At 50.0% G+C, this 13,235-nt stretch overlaps 1 protein-coding gene across 8 annotated transcripts in view, besides 3 other annotated features; it reads right to left on the bottom strand.

The window, feature by feature from the left end:
• CABP1 (calcium binding protein 1) overlaps positions 1-13,235 on the bottom strand; it is a 40,241-nt gene that overhangs the window by 5,043 nt on the left and 21,963 nt on the right. For 4 of the 8 annotated variants that reach the window (NM_001033677.2, NM_031205.4, NM_004276.5 and 1 more), the window contains one exon: positions 8,500-8,949. The exons of the other annotated variants lie outside the window; for them this stretch is intronic. In NM_001033677.2, the coding sequence (NP_001028849.1) occupies positions 8,924-8,949 (26 nt within the window). In that variant the 3' untranslated portion in view covers positions 8,500-8,923. Of the gene's footprint in view, positions 1-8,499; positions 8,950-13,235 lie in introns of those variants that run through there. 8 annotated transcript variants of the gene reach the window in all.
• Positions 1,511-1,610: an enhancer, noted in NCBI's record as "active region_7146". NCBI's record gives its function as "activates an Ori minimal core promoter by ATAC-STARR-seq in GM12878 lymphoblastoid cells {active_cell/tissue: GM12878}" and the evidence as "EXISTENCE:reporter gene assay evidence [ECO:0000049][PMID:35858748]".
• Positions 8,073-8,593: an enhancer, noted in NCBI's record as "H3K4me1 hESC enhancer chr12:121105034-121105554 (GRCh37/hg19 assembly coordinates)". NCBI's record gives its function as "activates a minimal SCP1, AML or CMV promoter by ChIP-STARR-seq in primed H9 embryonic stem cells {active_cell/tissue: H9 hESC(primed)}" and the evidence as "EXISTENCE:reporter gene assay evidence [ECO:0000049][PMID:30033119]".
• Positions 8,594-9,115: an enhancer, noted in NCBI's record as "H3K4me1 hESC enhancer chr12:121104512-121105033 (GRCh37/hg19 assembly coordinates)". NCBI's record gives its function as "activates a minimal SCP1, AML or CMV promoter by ChIP-STARR-seq in primed H9 embryonic stem cells {active_cell/tissue: H9 hESC(primed)}" and the evidence as "EXISTENCE:reporter gene assay evidence [ECO:0000049][PMID:30033119]".

Raw genomic sequence — 13,235 nt, 5'->3', positions numbered from 1 at the left:
GATTACAGGTGTGAGCCACTGTGCCTGCCTGATACAATAAATCATTGCTAAGTGCCTACTAGACACTGAAGACACTATGCTGGACAAGGTAGAAATGGTCTCTACCAACATGGAGCTTACATTCTAGTGAGGGGGAGGGAGCCTCAAACAATAAGCAGATACAAACATATTGTCGTACAATAAATATGTCAGGCCAGAGATTTCATGTGTGCTCTGAAGAATACAAATGAGCTGTGGTGGTGACTTCTGTCCTTCCTTCAAAAGATAAGTCAAGAAAAAGACATTTAAGTTCAACTCCAGAAATGAGAAGGATCTAGCTATTCAAAGAGTACAAGGAAAAGCACTCCAGGCAGAGGGAACAGCATGTGTGAGGGCCCTGAGCCAGGCCCTCCACTAAGCATTATGCAAGGGTTAATTTCTTCACATCCACCCCACAGGGTAGATAATTTATTATCATTAATAACAGATAATGGCCGGGGGCAGTGGCATACGCCTGTAATCCCACCACTTTGGGAGGTCGAGGCGGGTGGATCAATTGAGGTCAGGAGTTTGAGTCCAGCCTGGCTAATAGGGTAAAACCTCATCTCTACTAAAAATACAGAATTTAGCTGGGCGTGGCGGTGCACACCTGTAATCCCAGCTACTTGGGAGGCTGAGGTGGGAGAATCACTTGAACCCAGGAAGCAGAGGCTGCAGTGAGCCGAGATCACACCACTGCACTCCAGCAGGAGTGACAGAGTGAGATTTTGCCTCAAAAAACAAAAAACTAATGTTTAAAAAAACTAAAAATAAAAATAAACAGTGAGGGACTCCCTTCACACATACATCCTATACATGTACATCCCTTAACTCCCTTAAGTGGCAGAGCTGGGGTCAGAAACCAGATGCTTGGTATTTTTGGTGTTTTTTTTTTTTGGCGGAGGTGGGTGTTGGCAGAGAGAGTCTCTCTCTGTTGTCCAGGCTGGAGCACAGTGGCGGGATCTTGGCTCACTGCAACCTCTGCCTCCCGGGTTCAAGCGATTCTCCTGCCTCAGCCTCCCCAGTAGCTGGGACTGCAGGTGCGCACCACCATGCCCAGCTAATTTTTGTTGTATTTTTAGTAGAGACGGGGTTTCACCATGTTGGCCAGGCTGGTCTGAACTCCTGACCTCAGGTGATCCACCCGCCTTGGCCTCCCAAAGTGCTGAGATTACAGGCATGGCTACCCCGCCCTGCCAAAAAACATGTGCTTGTTAACACCAGAGCTCATCCCTCAATCATGATACTCAGACCCCTGTCCCCTCTGTAGGAAAGACAACCATTAGCTGGAGTGCAGAAGCAAGCAGCAGGCACCTCCAGGGAGATGAAAGGATACTCCAGCCCTGCAGTTCCTGCTACAGGCACAGCAGGATCAGGGCTGCCTTGCAGACAGCCCCTCCCTGGTCTAGGGCCAGATCCCAGATTTAAGCTGTGATTATCTTGTCACTGTCAATAAGAGGTTCTGCCATAGCCATTCAAGAATGCCATGCCCAACTTTCTCTTCTCCTTTTCTTGAGAAGGAATCGCTGAGGCGTGATGACACATGGGAGAGAGTGGTAGGCAACTGGAGAATAACAACCGACAAGAATGATAGTGAATACTTCTATTTAATTTTTTGTTTTGAGATATGGCCTCGTTCCATCATCCAGGTTGGAGTGCAGTGGCACGAACATGGTTCACTGCAGCCTCAACTTCTTGGGCTCAAGTGATCCCTGTGCCTCAGCCTCCTGAGTAGCTGGGACCACAGATTCCCACCACCATCCCTGGCTAATTTTTAATTTTTTAAAATAGAGATGGGGTCTTGCTGTGTTGCCCAGGCTGGTCTCAAACTCCTGGGCTCAAACGATCCTCTCACTTTGGCCTTCCAAAGTGCTGGAATTACAGGCATGAGCCACCACACCAGGCAGCAAAAACATTTACGATGCTTACTGCGTGCCAGGCACTATTCCAAAGGCTTCACATAGAATAATTTGTTTCATCTTCAGAACAACCCTATCACATCATCCCCCTGGTCAGGAAGCACTGGTGGTTTAGTAGTAGAATTCCTGCCTCCCTATAACATCATCTCCATTTTACAGATGAGGAAGCTGAGACCTCAAGAGTCTTATAACCTACCCAAGATGACGCGGCTGATAAGTAGTAGAGCTCAGATTGGAAACCAGATAGCTGGCTCCTGAACCTGCACTTGGTTTTTTTTAGACTTTTTTTTCTTTTTTTTGAGATGGAGTCTCGCCCTGTCACCCAGGCTGGAGTGCAGTGAGTGGCACGATCTCGGCTCACTGTAAACTCCGCCTCCCGGGTTCAAGCGATTCTCCTGCCTCAGCCTCCCACGTAGCTAGGACTGCAGGTGCCTGCCACCATGCCCGGCTAATTTTTTGTATTTTTAGTAGAGACGGGGTTTCACCATGTTAGCCAGGATGGTCTCGATCTCCTGACCTCGTGATCTTCCCACCTCAGCCTCCCAAAGCGCTGGGATTACAGGTGTGAGCCACCACGCCAGGCCTTTTTAGATATTTTTTTTATTGTAAAATAAGACACAGAAAACCACACAGAACAATTGTACAACTTGGTGAATTATCATGAAGCAAGCACTCTTGTAATCACCTTACTTGTTAAGAAATAGAACTTTGTCAGACACCCCAGAAGCTCCTCTCTGTGCCCCTTTGCAATCATAGCTTTTTCCCTCCTTCTCTCTAAAAGCAACCACTTTCCTGACTTTTATAGTAATAATTCCCTTGGGTTTCTTTTTAAAAATCTTTTTCTTTTTTTCTTTTTTGCAATGGAATCTTGCTGTATCGCCCAGGCTGGAGTGCAGTGGCACGATCTCGGATCACTGTAACTTCTGCCTCCGAGGTTCAAGCTATTCTCGTTCCTCAGCCTCCTGAGTAGCTGAGATTGCAGGCGCACACCACCATGCCTGGCTAGTTTTTGTGTTTTTAGTAGAGACGGGTTTTCGCCATGTTGGCCAGGCTGGTCTTGAACTCATGACCTCAAGTGATCCACCCACCTCAGCCTCCCAAAGTACTGGGATGACAGACGTGAGCCACTGCGCCCAGCCTCCCTTGGGTTTCTTTGTGGTTTTTTTTTTTTTTTTCACCCAAGTGCACATCCCTACATACTATCATTTAGTCAGGCCCACTTTTTAAAACACGATACTTTTTAGTCTCTTTTGATCTATAAGTTCACTTTTTTTTTTTTTTTTTTGGAGTGCAATGGCGCTATCTTGACTCACTGCAGCCTCCGCCTCCTGGGTTCAAGCAATTCTCCTGCCTCAGCCTTCCAAGTAGCTGGGATTACAGGCCTGTGCTACCACGCCTGGCTAATTTTGTATTTTTAGTAGAGACAGGGTTTCTCCATGTTGGTCAGGCTGGTCCCGAACTCCCGACCTCAGGTGATCCGCCCACTTCGGCCTCCCAAAGTGCTAGGATTACAGGCGTGAGCCACCATGCCCGGCCCATCTCTTTCTTTTTCTTGTAATTTGCTTTGAAGAATATGAGCCATTTGACCTGTATTGTTTTTCCCAGTTTGGAGTTTGTGGATGTCAAAAACTGATGTCCTCCTCATGGTACAGCTCAACATGTTTCTCTGCCCCTGGATTTTTTGCAAATTGCTGGCTGGATCTCAAGGCATGATCAGATTCAGATTTGATCCCTTCAGCAACCCCAGGGGCTGGTGTTGTGTTCTCTCATCAGTGGTATCTAATGTCTGGCTTTCTGGTATTTTTGTTTGTCTGTCTTTGAGATGGGGTCTCGCTCGGTTGTCCAGGCTGGAATACAATGGCGTGATCATAGCTCACTGCAGACTCGAACTCCTGGGCTCAAGCAATTCTCCCACCTCAGCATCCCAAGTAGCTGGGACTACAGGTACATGCAACCACATCTGGCTAATTTTTAAAATTTTTTGTGGAGATGAGGTCTCACTATGTTGCCCAACCTGGTCTTGAACCCCTGGCTTCAAGTGATCCTCCCACCTCAGCCTCCCAAAGCACTGGGATTACAGGTGCAATCCACTGCACCCAGCCTAGCTCTCTGCTTTTTGATCAGAACTCATGCTTTTAACCACACTGCTATGGGGACGCCTCCTGGCTACCCTCAGCTGCCTGGGTTTTCTTCTATCTTCTGGACAGATTTGTCCCCAAAGGTGAGCCCTTCATAGCACCAGCGTTTCTGTGGCCGTGGGCCTGGCTAATGCCAGAAGGCAGCCCCTCAGAGTTCCCATCTGAGCCTCTCCACACTCCAAGGTCTGCGGAGGGATGGGGTCCTGCCTCCCTGTTGAGCGTCACCTCTCTCTGCTCCTCTCTCCAGCCCAGTACATCAGTTAGACAAAATTCCACTTAGTTTCCCAAAAGGGCCACACTCTCCCTTACCTCGGGGCCTTTGCATATGCTATTCCCAGACCAGAAATAGTGGTTGCTATTTCTTGCTCTGTTGCCCAGGCTGGAGTGCAGTGGCGCAATCTCGGCTCACTGCAGCCTCTGCCTCCCAAGTGATTCTCCTGCTCAGCCTCCCGAGTAGCTGGGATTGCAGGCGCGCACCACCATGCCTGGCTAATTTTTGTATTTTTAGTAGAGACGGTGTTTCACCATTTGGCCAGGCTGGTCTCGAACTCCTGACCTCAAGTGATCCGCCAGCCTTGGCCTCCCGAAGTGCTGGGATTGCAGGCATGAGCCACCATGCCCACCTCTCCTAACTAAGCACTGCTGATCCTTGAGGTCCTAGTAGATCTGTCCATTCCTCCCCACACCCACCCACCAGATTGAATCGGGTGCCTTTTATGTACCTCCAGGGCTCTAGGCTAACCTAGTGGGTACTACTAATATGTAGCACTTAGGCCACTAGATTACATTTCTCTGGTTTCTGATCTGTTTGCCCTGCTAGAGTCTGAACTCCTTGAGGACAGGAAGTCTTGCATGGGGCCTGGCACATAGTAGGAGCTCAATAAACATCAAGTGCATGTGTGCATGAATGAGCAGACAAATTGGCCTTTATGAGTCAGCAGGAGGCAAATCCAGGTGCAATAAAAGAGCTTTCAGACAAAGAGCTTTTCTTTTTGGTTTTCGAGACAAAAGTCTCACTCTGTCACCCAGGCTGAGTGCAGCGGTGCAATCTCCGCTCACTGCAACCTCTGCCTCCCGGGTTCAAGTGATTCTCGTCCTTCAGCCTCCCGTATAGCTGGGATTACAGGCATGAACTGCCACATCTGGCTAATTTTTGTATTTTTAGTAGAGACGGAGTTTCACCATGTTGGTCAGGCTGGTCTCAGACTCCTGACCTCAAGCGATCCACCCATCTCGGCCTCCCAAAGTGCTGGGATTACAGGTATGAGCCACCTCGCTCGGCCTTAGACAAAGAGCTTTTCTAAGATGACACACCCAGAGCTCCCCAGCAGGGAAGGTAGTGGTGCAGGTTGCAGAAAGAACTCTTGGCTAGGAAAGTGCATCTCAGTCCTTGAAAAGTCTCAGACCCCTTTCTTCAAACAGTCATACTAGGAACCCCAAAATATAAGACAAGTTGCTGGGCACTGTGGCTCACGCCTGTAATCCCAGCACTTTGGGAAGCTGAGGTGGAAGGATCCCTTGAGGCCAGGAGTTCAAGACAGCCTGGACAACAGATTGAGACCCTGTCTCTACAAAAAAAATTTAAAAATCAGCTGGTGTGCATCTGTAGTCCTAGTTATGCAGGAGGCTGAGGCAGGAGGATCGCTTGAGCCCAAGAGTTCAAGACTGCAGTGAGCTATGATCCCACCACTGCACTCCAGCCTGGGTGCCAGAGTGAGACCCTGTCTCTAAAACAAAGAAAGAAAGAAAAAAAAACGTTTCCTGGCGGGAGCCAAAACAAAAAACAAAAGCAAATAAAAATAATTTTAAAATGAACAAACCAACAAAAAGACAAATTACTGGGGAGGAGTCCTAGCTTCAGCAGGGGAGGAGGCAGGAGGACTGCCCTGGGCCTCCCCTTACCCTGAGCATTAAGGGGCCTCTGAACAGTAGCCTGACTACATTCTCCATTTCCTTTATCACAACTGGCATATCTATGATTCTTTTTTTTTTTTTCAGACAGAGTCTCACTGTGTCACCCAGGCTGGGGTGAAGTGGCGTGATCTCGGCTCACTGCAACCTCCGCCTCTCGTGTTCAAGCAATTCTCTTGCCTCAGACTCCCTAATAGCTGAGATTACAGTCATGCCCCACTACGCCTGGCTAATTTTTGTATTTTTAGTACAGACGGGGTTTCACCATGTTGGCCAGGCTTGCCACTTCTTTGATTTTAGGCAGCCACACACTGGGGACAAAGAAGTCCTAGTTTATCCCTAAGTCTATCCTGAGTGGTGTTCCTGGGGGCTCACCCTGCCAGCCGATAGAGATGTCTACAGAAGCCCTCTTCCCGCAGGTTGCCCTCCAAGGCCACTGTGTTTCTGAAACAGTGAAACTCTGGAGTCTCTGGGCGGAGCCAAGCTAGTACAGAGGCAGGCAGGGCTGCAGGCTTGCCTAGCAGGGCACAGAGCCAAGGGCTTAGTCTCAGAATTGGATTATTAGAGTGAATTTGGAGCTCCCAGCCCCACTGACCTCGGGAACGTGAGGATTACCCGGGCCTCTGGCTGGGGCCCACGATCCTGCACATTCCCTGCCAGGTCTGAGAATAAGGATCCTCCCTCTGCGGCAGCACAGCGGGCAGCGGATGCTCTGCCCACCTCCCACCCCCAGCCATCAACCCCGCAGCCTCCCCTGGCTGCCTGGAGGCACACCAGCCTCCCTTGTGTCTGGGGTTTACAGCAGTGCTATTCAGGTTGTTGTCCATGGACTGGCAGCATCAGCATCCTCTGGGAACTTGTAAGAGATGCAAATTCATGGACTGCGCCCCAGACATGGGATCAGAATCACTGCGGGGGTGGCCCAGATCTGGGCTTCACAAATGCTCCAGGCAATTCTGCTGTATGCTAAGATTTGGGAACCAATGGCTTGAGGTACACCGGCCACCCCACACACCTGCCCAAGTACGCTCCAAGCCTGTCTAAGACTCGACAACTTCTACCCACAGATTTCTCCTTTGGGCTGCTTTAAGACTTCACTTATAGAAACGAATTACAATGGGTCTTTTCAATTGCATGATTCCACTGCAGTCTGAATAGCAGTCCCTGGGGTGTGCCGTGTGGTGCAATGCCCTGAGGGCACTTGCTATGCACTGACCCCATCCTTTATCATCCCCACATTACACAGGAAGAAACTGAGCTTCAGAAAGGGGACGCGACTGGCCCTAAGTCACACAGCAAGCAAACCCTGGGCCTATTGGCTACACATCTTCCTCCCACTCAGCAGAGAGGATGGCAGCTATTTCTTTCTTTTTTTAGACGGAGTCTCGCTCCGTCACCCAGTGGCATGATCTCGGCCCACTGCAGCCTCCACCTCCTGGGTTCAAGCGATTCTCCTGAAGCTGGGACTCTAGGTGCATGCCACCACGCCCGGCTAATTTTTCTATTTTTGTAGAGACAGGCCACGTTGGTCAGGTTAGTCTTGAACTCCTGAACTCAGGTGATCCTCCCGCCTCAGCCTCCCCAGAGTGCTGGGATTACAGGCATGAGCCACGGCGCGCAGCCAGTGGCAGCTGTGTCTATATCTGTCTGTCCGCACACACTGGGACTTCCTCCAGAGCAAAACCCTTGACATCACTTCACTGGGCAAGCCTTTTCTGACCTCCCTACAGGAGGCCAGGCCTCCTTAGTATATCCTGCCGAAGGTCCCTATATTTTTCCTCAATAGCAGTATCACAATTTGTAATCCTATATGATGTGTTTCTCTCATGCCTGTCTCTCCAACCAGTATAAAAGTTCCAGAAAGTCAGAAGTGATACAGACTCTGCTGGATGCTTCTCTTCTTATAGAACCTGATTTTGTTTGGGGAAGCTGAGTACCCAGCTAAATAACTAACTACATTCTTCAGTCTCCCTTAGCAGTCCCAGGTTCTGGCCCACGGATGAGAATGGAAGTCACTGAGTACATAATAGGTACTCAATAAATGCATGTTGGCCAGGCATGGAGACTCACGCCTGGAATCCCAGCCCTTTGGGAGGCCAAGGCAGGCAGATCCCTTGAGATCAGGAGTTTGAGACCAGCCTGCCCAACATGTGAAACCCCATCTCTACTAAAAATACAAAAATTAGCCAGGCGTGGTGGCGGGCGCCTGTAATCCCAGCTACTCGGGAGGCTGAGGCAGGAGAATCGCTTGAACCTGGGAAGCAGAGGTTACAGTGAGCTGAGATCACGCCACTGCACTCCAGCCTGGGTGACGGAGCTAGACCCTGTCTCAAAACAGAAAACACAGGAAGGTCAAAAGAACCCTCATTTGACTTCTTCTCGAAATAAATAAATAAACAAACAAAAAATGCTGAATGCAAAAATGATCAGCAGGTTCTGGGCATGCAGTTGGTACTCAGGAAATGTGAGGGTCATCTAACCAGGCCCAAGGAGGAAAGACCATCACGGCTGTCTTGCTCTTGGAAATATTTTTATTGGTTCTGAGATAACAGGGCTGAGGCGAGCTGGGACGGGCGCAGAGCGAAGGTGGGAGGCTTTGCCCTGGGGCGGACATGCTGTGTGGGGTCTGCTGGCGGGCTCCCTGGCCCACCCAGCCAGCAGCAGCTGGGCACATGGCCCTTGGCGCCTGGCATGACCTCTGCCGGCTTGGCACGGTGGCCTCCTCGTCGGCGGGCGCCCCCGCTTTCCAGTTGCAGGAGTTAGTCTTTCACAGTGCGGAGGGGTGGGGGTCCGGGGTGGGCGCCTCCCCGGGGTGCAGGCAGGCCCCATCCGCCAGTACATCCTGGGCTCTCGGCGGCTACAGCGGGTGAGGCAAGCTCTAGCTCCTCTTAGCCCCGCCTTTGGGAGCTTGGCAGTCCTGGAGGGGCCCTCGCGGCCTCAGCGGGACATCATCCGGACAAACTCTAGAAGGGTAGAGGAGCAGCTGGGGAGCAAGCAGCAGCCAGAGGCCTCCCCAGGTTGCTGCCTTCAGACCCCACCCTGTTGCCACTGCCCCAACTCTGTGCTGGTCCCCCATCCATTCCGCCCTCTCCAATCCATGGACACAGCAGCCAGCGAGAGTGTTCTAATCTGCGGATCTGACCGCTGCGTAAACCTCCCACAGCTCTCCACTGGAAAAATCTCCAATATCCTGACACAGCCTCATGGCCCTCCCTGATCTGGCGCCAGCTGACATCTCCAGCCATATCTCTCAGGCTAACTCCCAACCTCTGTGCTCCAACTACACAGATCTTTTCAGCCCCTCAAGTGCAGCTGGCGCACTCTCTCTCTCACCTCTCAGCATTTTTTTTTTTTTTTTTTTTTTGAGATGGAGTCTTGCTCTGTCACCCAGGCTGGAGTGCGGTGATGCGATCTCAGCTCACTGAAGCCTCCACCTCCTGGGTTCAAGCGATTCTCCTGCCTCAGCCTCCCTAGTAGCTGGGATTACAGGTGTGCACTACCACGCTTGGCTAATTTTTGTACTTTTAGTAGAGATGGGGTTTCACCATGTTGGCCAGGCTGGTCTCCTCTCAGCTTTTCTGAAAGCAACCTGTACCCCCTCCCTTCTTCTTCTTCCTTTTTTTTTTTTTTTTTTAATGTAGAGACAGAGTCTCCCTCTGTCGCCCACGCTGAAGTGCAGTGGCATGATTATAGCTCACTGTAAGGTCAAACTCCTGGGCTCTAGCAATCCTCCTGCCTTGGCCTCCCAAAGTGCTGGGATTACAGGTGTGGCCACCGTGCCCAGCCCCTTCTCTCTCTCTCTTTTCTTTTTTTTTTTTTTGAGACAGAGTCTCGCTCTGTCACCTAGGCTGGAGTGCAGTGGCGTGATCTTGGCTCACTGCAAGCTCTGCCTCCCGGGTTCACGCCATTCTCCTGCCTCAGCCTCCCAAGTAGCTGGGACCAGGAGCCCGCCACGACGTCCAGCTAATTTTTTGTATTTTTATAGAGATGGGGTTTCACCATGTTAGCCAGGATGGTCTCGATCTCCTGACCTCGTGATCCGCCCACCTCGGCTTCCCAAAGTGCTGGGATTACAGGCGTGAGCCACCGCGCCGGGCCTCTCTCTCTCTTTTTTTAAGGGCAATTTTAGGTTTATGGCAAAACGGATTAGAAAGTACGGAGATTTTTTTCTGCAACCCCTGTCCCCGCATACGCATAGCCTCCCACACCAACCACATCCCACACAGAGTGGTGCATTTGTTGTAAGTGAGAAACCGACACCGACACATCGTTATCACCTGGAGACCACAGTTTACATCAGGGTTCATTGTTGGCGATGTACATTCTATGGGTTCAGACAAATGTATAATGACATGCATCCTCTGCTGTTGTATCATACAGAATCGTTTATTTTTATTTATTTATTTATTTTTGAGACAGGGTCTCACTTTGTCACCCAGGCTGGAGTACAGTGGCACAATCTCGGCTCACTGCAGCCTTGACCTCCCGGGCTCAAGCGATCCTCCCACCTCAGCTCTCCAGGTAGCTGGGACTACAGGCATGCGCCACCAAGCCTGGCTAATTTTTTTTGTATTTTTAGTAGAGACGGGGTTTCACCATGTTGCCCAGGCTGGTCTCGAACTCCTGACCTCAAGTGATCCTCCTGCCTCAGCCTCCCAAAATACTAGGATTACAGGCATGTGCCACTGTACCTGGCCTCATACAGAATAGTTTCACTGCCCTAAAAATCTTCTCTTCTCTGCCTATTCATCCCTCCCTCCCCCCAACCCCTTGCACCCACTGATCTTTTTACTGTCTCCATAGTTTTGCCTTTTCCAGAATGTCATATAGATGAAATCATAGGGTATGCAGTGTTTTCAGATTGGCTTTTCACTTAGTAATATGCATGTGTGTCCCCTCTTCACCATGTCTTTTCATGACTAGATAGCTCATCTCTCTCTCTCTCTTTTTTTTTTTTCTTTTTGAGACAGAGTCTTGCTCTGTTGCCCAGGCTGGAGTGCAGCAGTACCATCTCAGCTCACTACAACCTCCGCCTCCCGGGTTCAAGCGATTCTGTGTCTCAGCCTCCCAAGTGCTGGGATTACAGGTGTGCGCCACCACACCCAGCTAATTTTTTTTGTATTTTTAATAGAGACAGGGTTTCACCATGTTGATCAGGCTGGTCTCAAACTCCTGACATCAAGTGATCTGCCCACCTCGGCCTACCATAGTGCTGGGATTACAGGCATGAGCCACAGCGCCTGGCCTAGCTCATCTCTTTTTAGCACTGAGCAATATCCCATTGTCTGGATGTGCCCCCGTTTATTTATCCATCACTTACTGAAAGGACACCTTGGTTGTTTCCAAGTTTGGACAATTATGAATAAAGCTGCTATAAGCATCTATGTACAGATTTGTGTGGACATAGGTTTTCAACTCATTTGGGTAAATACCTGCCCTTCCCTCTCACCTGGTGGCTCTTCCCATTTTGGGGGGCTCTAATTATTTATAACCTCCTCCAGGAAGTCTTCCCTAATCCCTCCCTGCAACTTGGCACAGGCGCCCCCTCTATAGCAGCCCCCTGTGCTTCCCCCAGCACACATGGATTATGCTATTGTTTTCTCTGGTTTTCTTGCTGGTTTTGAGCTCTTCGAGGCAGAGACCAGATCTTAGCACACAGCAGATGTACAATGCATCCTCGTAGGATGAATGGGGGATGCCAGGCTTTCAAGAGCAAGGCTGTCATCTGTGGTGGGCGCTACCTGGATACAGGGAGACCTGAGATTTCCAGATCTGGTGATAACAAAGCCTTCTCTCCAACTATCCACGCTCCCTGGCCTTGAAGGCCAACTGCTCCTGAGAGAAAACCTCCCAGCCTTTGTGTTCTGGACACTCACGGTCTCTGGCACATGCTTATCTTGTCTTTCTGCTCAGAATGCAAGTTCCTGGTGTGCAGAGTCAACATTTTACCCTTTCCCTGTATCCCGTAGTGCCTCACATGGCGTCATGCACAAGACTGCATTCTGCTGTGATTTCAGGCCTGGGGCTGTGCCCCAGCTCTGCCTCTTAGTAGGCAGGCAATCTTGAGCTAGTTATATTACTTCTCTGAGCCTCAGTTTCCTCATCTGTAACATGAGGTTATAATAATGCAATCCATAGAGTCATTCTGAGAATTAAATGTAAGAATATGTGTAAAGCTACTTAGTACAATGACTGCACATAAGTGTACAGTAAATTATAACTATTATGATTACTATTGATTCTTTAAAAAGAAAGTCTTTGAGGCTGGGCGCGGTGGCTCACGACTGTAATCCCAGCACTTTGGGAGGCTAAGGCGGGTGGATCACTTGAGGCCAGGAGTTCGAGACCAGCCTGGCCAACATGGTGAAACCCTGTCTCTACTAAAAATACAAAAAATTAGCCAGGCATGGTGGTGCACCCCTATAGTCCCAGCTACTCGGGAGGCTGAGCCACAAGAATCACTTGAACCCGGGAGGCGGAGGTTGCAGTGAGCCGAGATTACGCCACTGCACTCCAGCCTGGGCGACAGAGCAAGACCCTGTCTTAAAATAAATAAATAAATAAATAAATAAATAACCTTTCACTGAGCACTAGCTGTGTTATGCAAGAAATGCAGTGATTAAGAAAATAGGGTTCTTCTTTCAAAGTTCAGAGTCAACTGGGAAGACAACTCTAACCAGCAGTTAGGGGACAGTGTGAAGAACAGGTGAGCCTGACGTGCTGTGAAAACCCAGAAAAGAGGAAGTTCAGTTTGAGGAACCAGGGAAGGGTGCTAGAAGAAGGAGTCCCACTGTCGAGTCATGAAGAATGTCCCTTGGGCTAACAGAACTTAGCCCAAGTAAAAAACAGGATAGGCCAGATGCAGTGGCTCACACCTATAATCCCAGCACTTTGGGAGGCCAAGGCGGGTGGATCACCTGAGTTCAGGAGTTCCAGACCAGCCTGGCCAACATAGTGAAACCCCATCTCTACTGAAAATACAAAAACTAGCTGGACGTGGTGGTAGGCGCCTGTAATCCCAGCTATTCGGGAGGCTGAGGCAGGAGAATCGCTTGAATCCAGGAGGCAGAGGTTGCAGTGAGCTGAGATCGTGCCATTGCACTCCAGCCTGGAGTACAAGAGCGAGACTTTGTCTCAAAAAAAAAAAAAAAAAGAACAGGATAAAAGCCCTCCTGGTGGCCAGGCACAGTGGCTCACGCCTGTAATCCCAGCACTTTGGGAGGCCGAGGCGGGTGGATCACTTGAGGTC

This window comes from Homo sapiens, chromosome 12, assembly GCF_000001405.40.
Source record: "Homo sapiens chromosome 12, GRCh38.p14 Primary Assembly".
NCBI lineage: Eukaryota > Metazoa > Chordata > Mammalia > Primates > Hominidae > Homo > Homo sapiens.
This window is presented reverse-complemented; position numbering and strand designations above follow the sequence as displayed.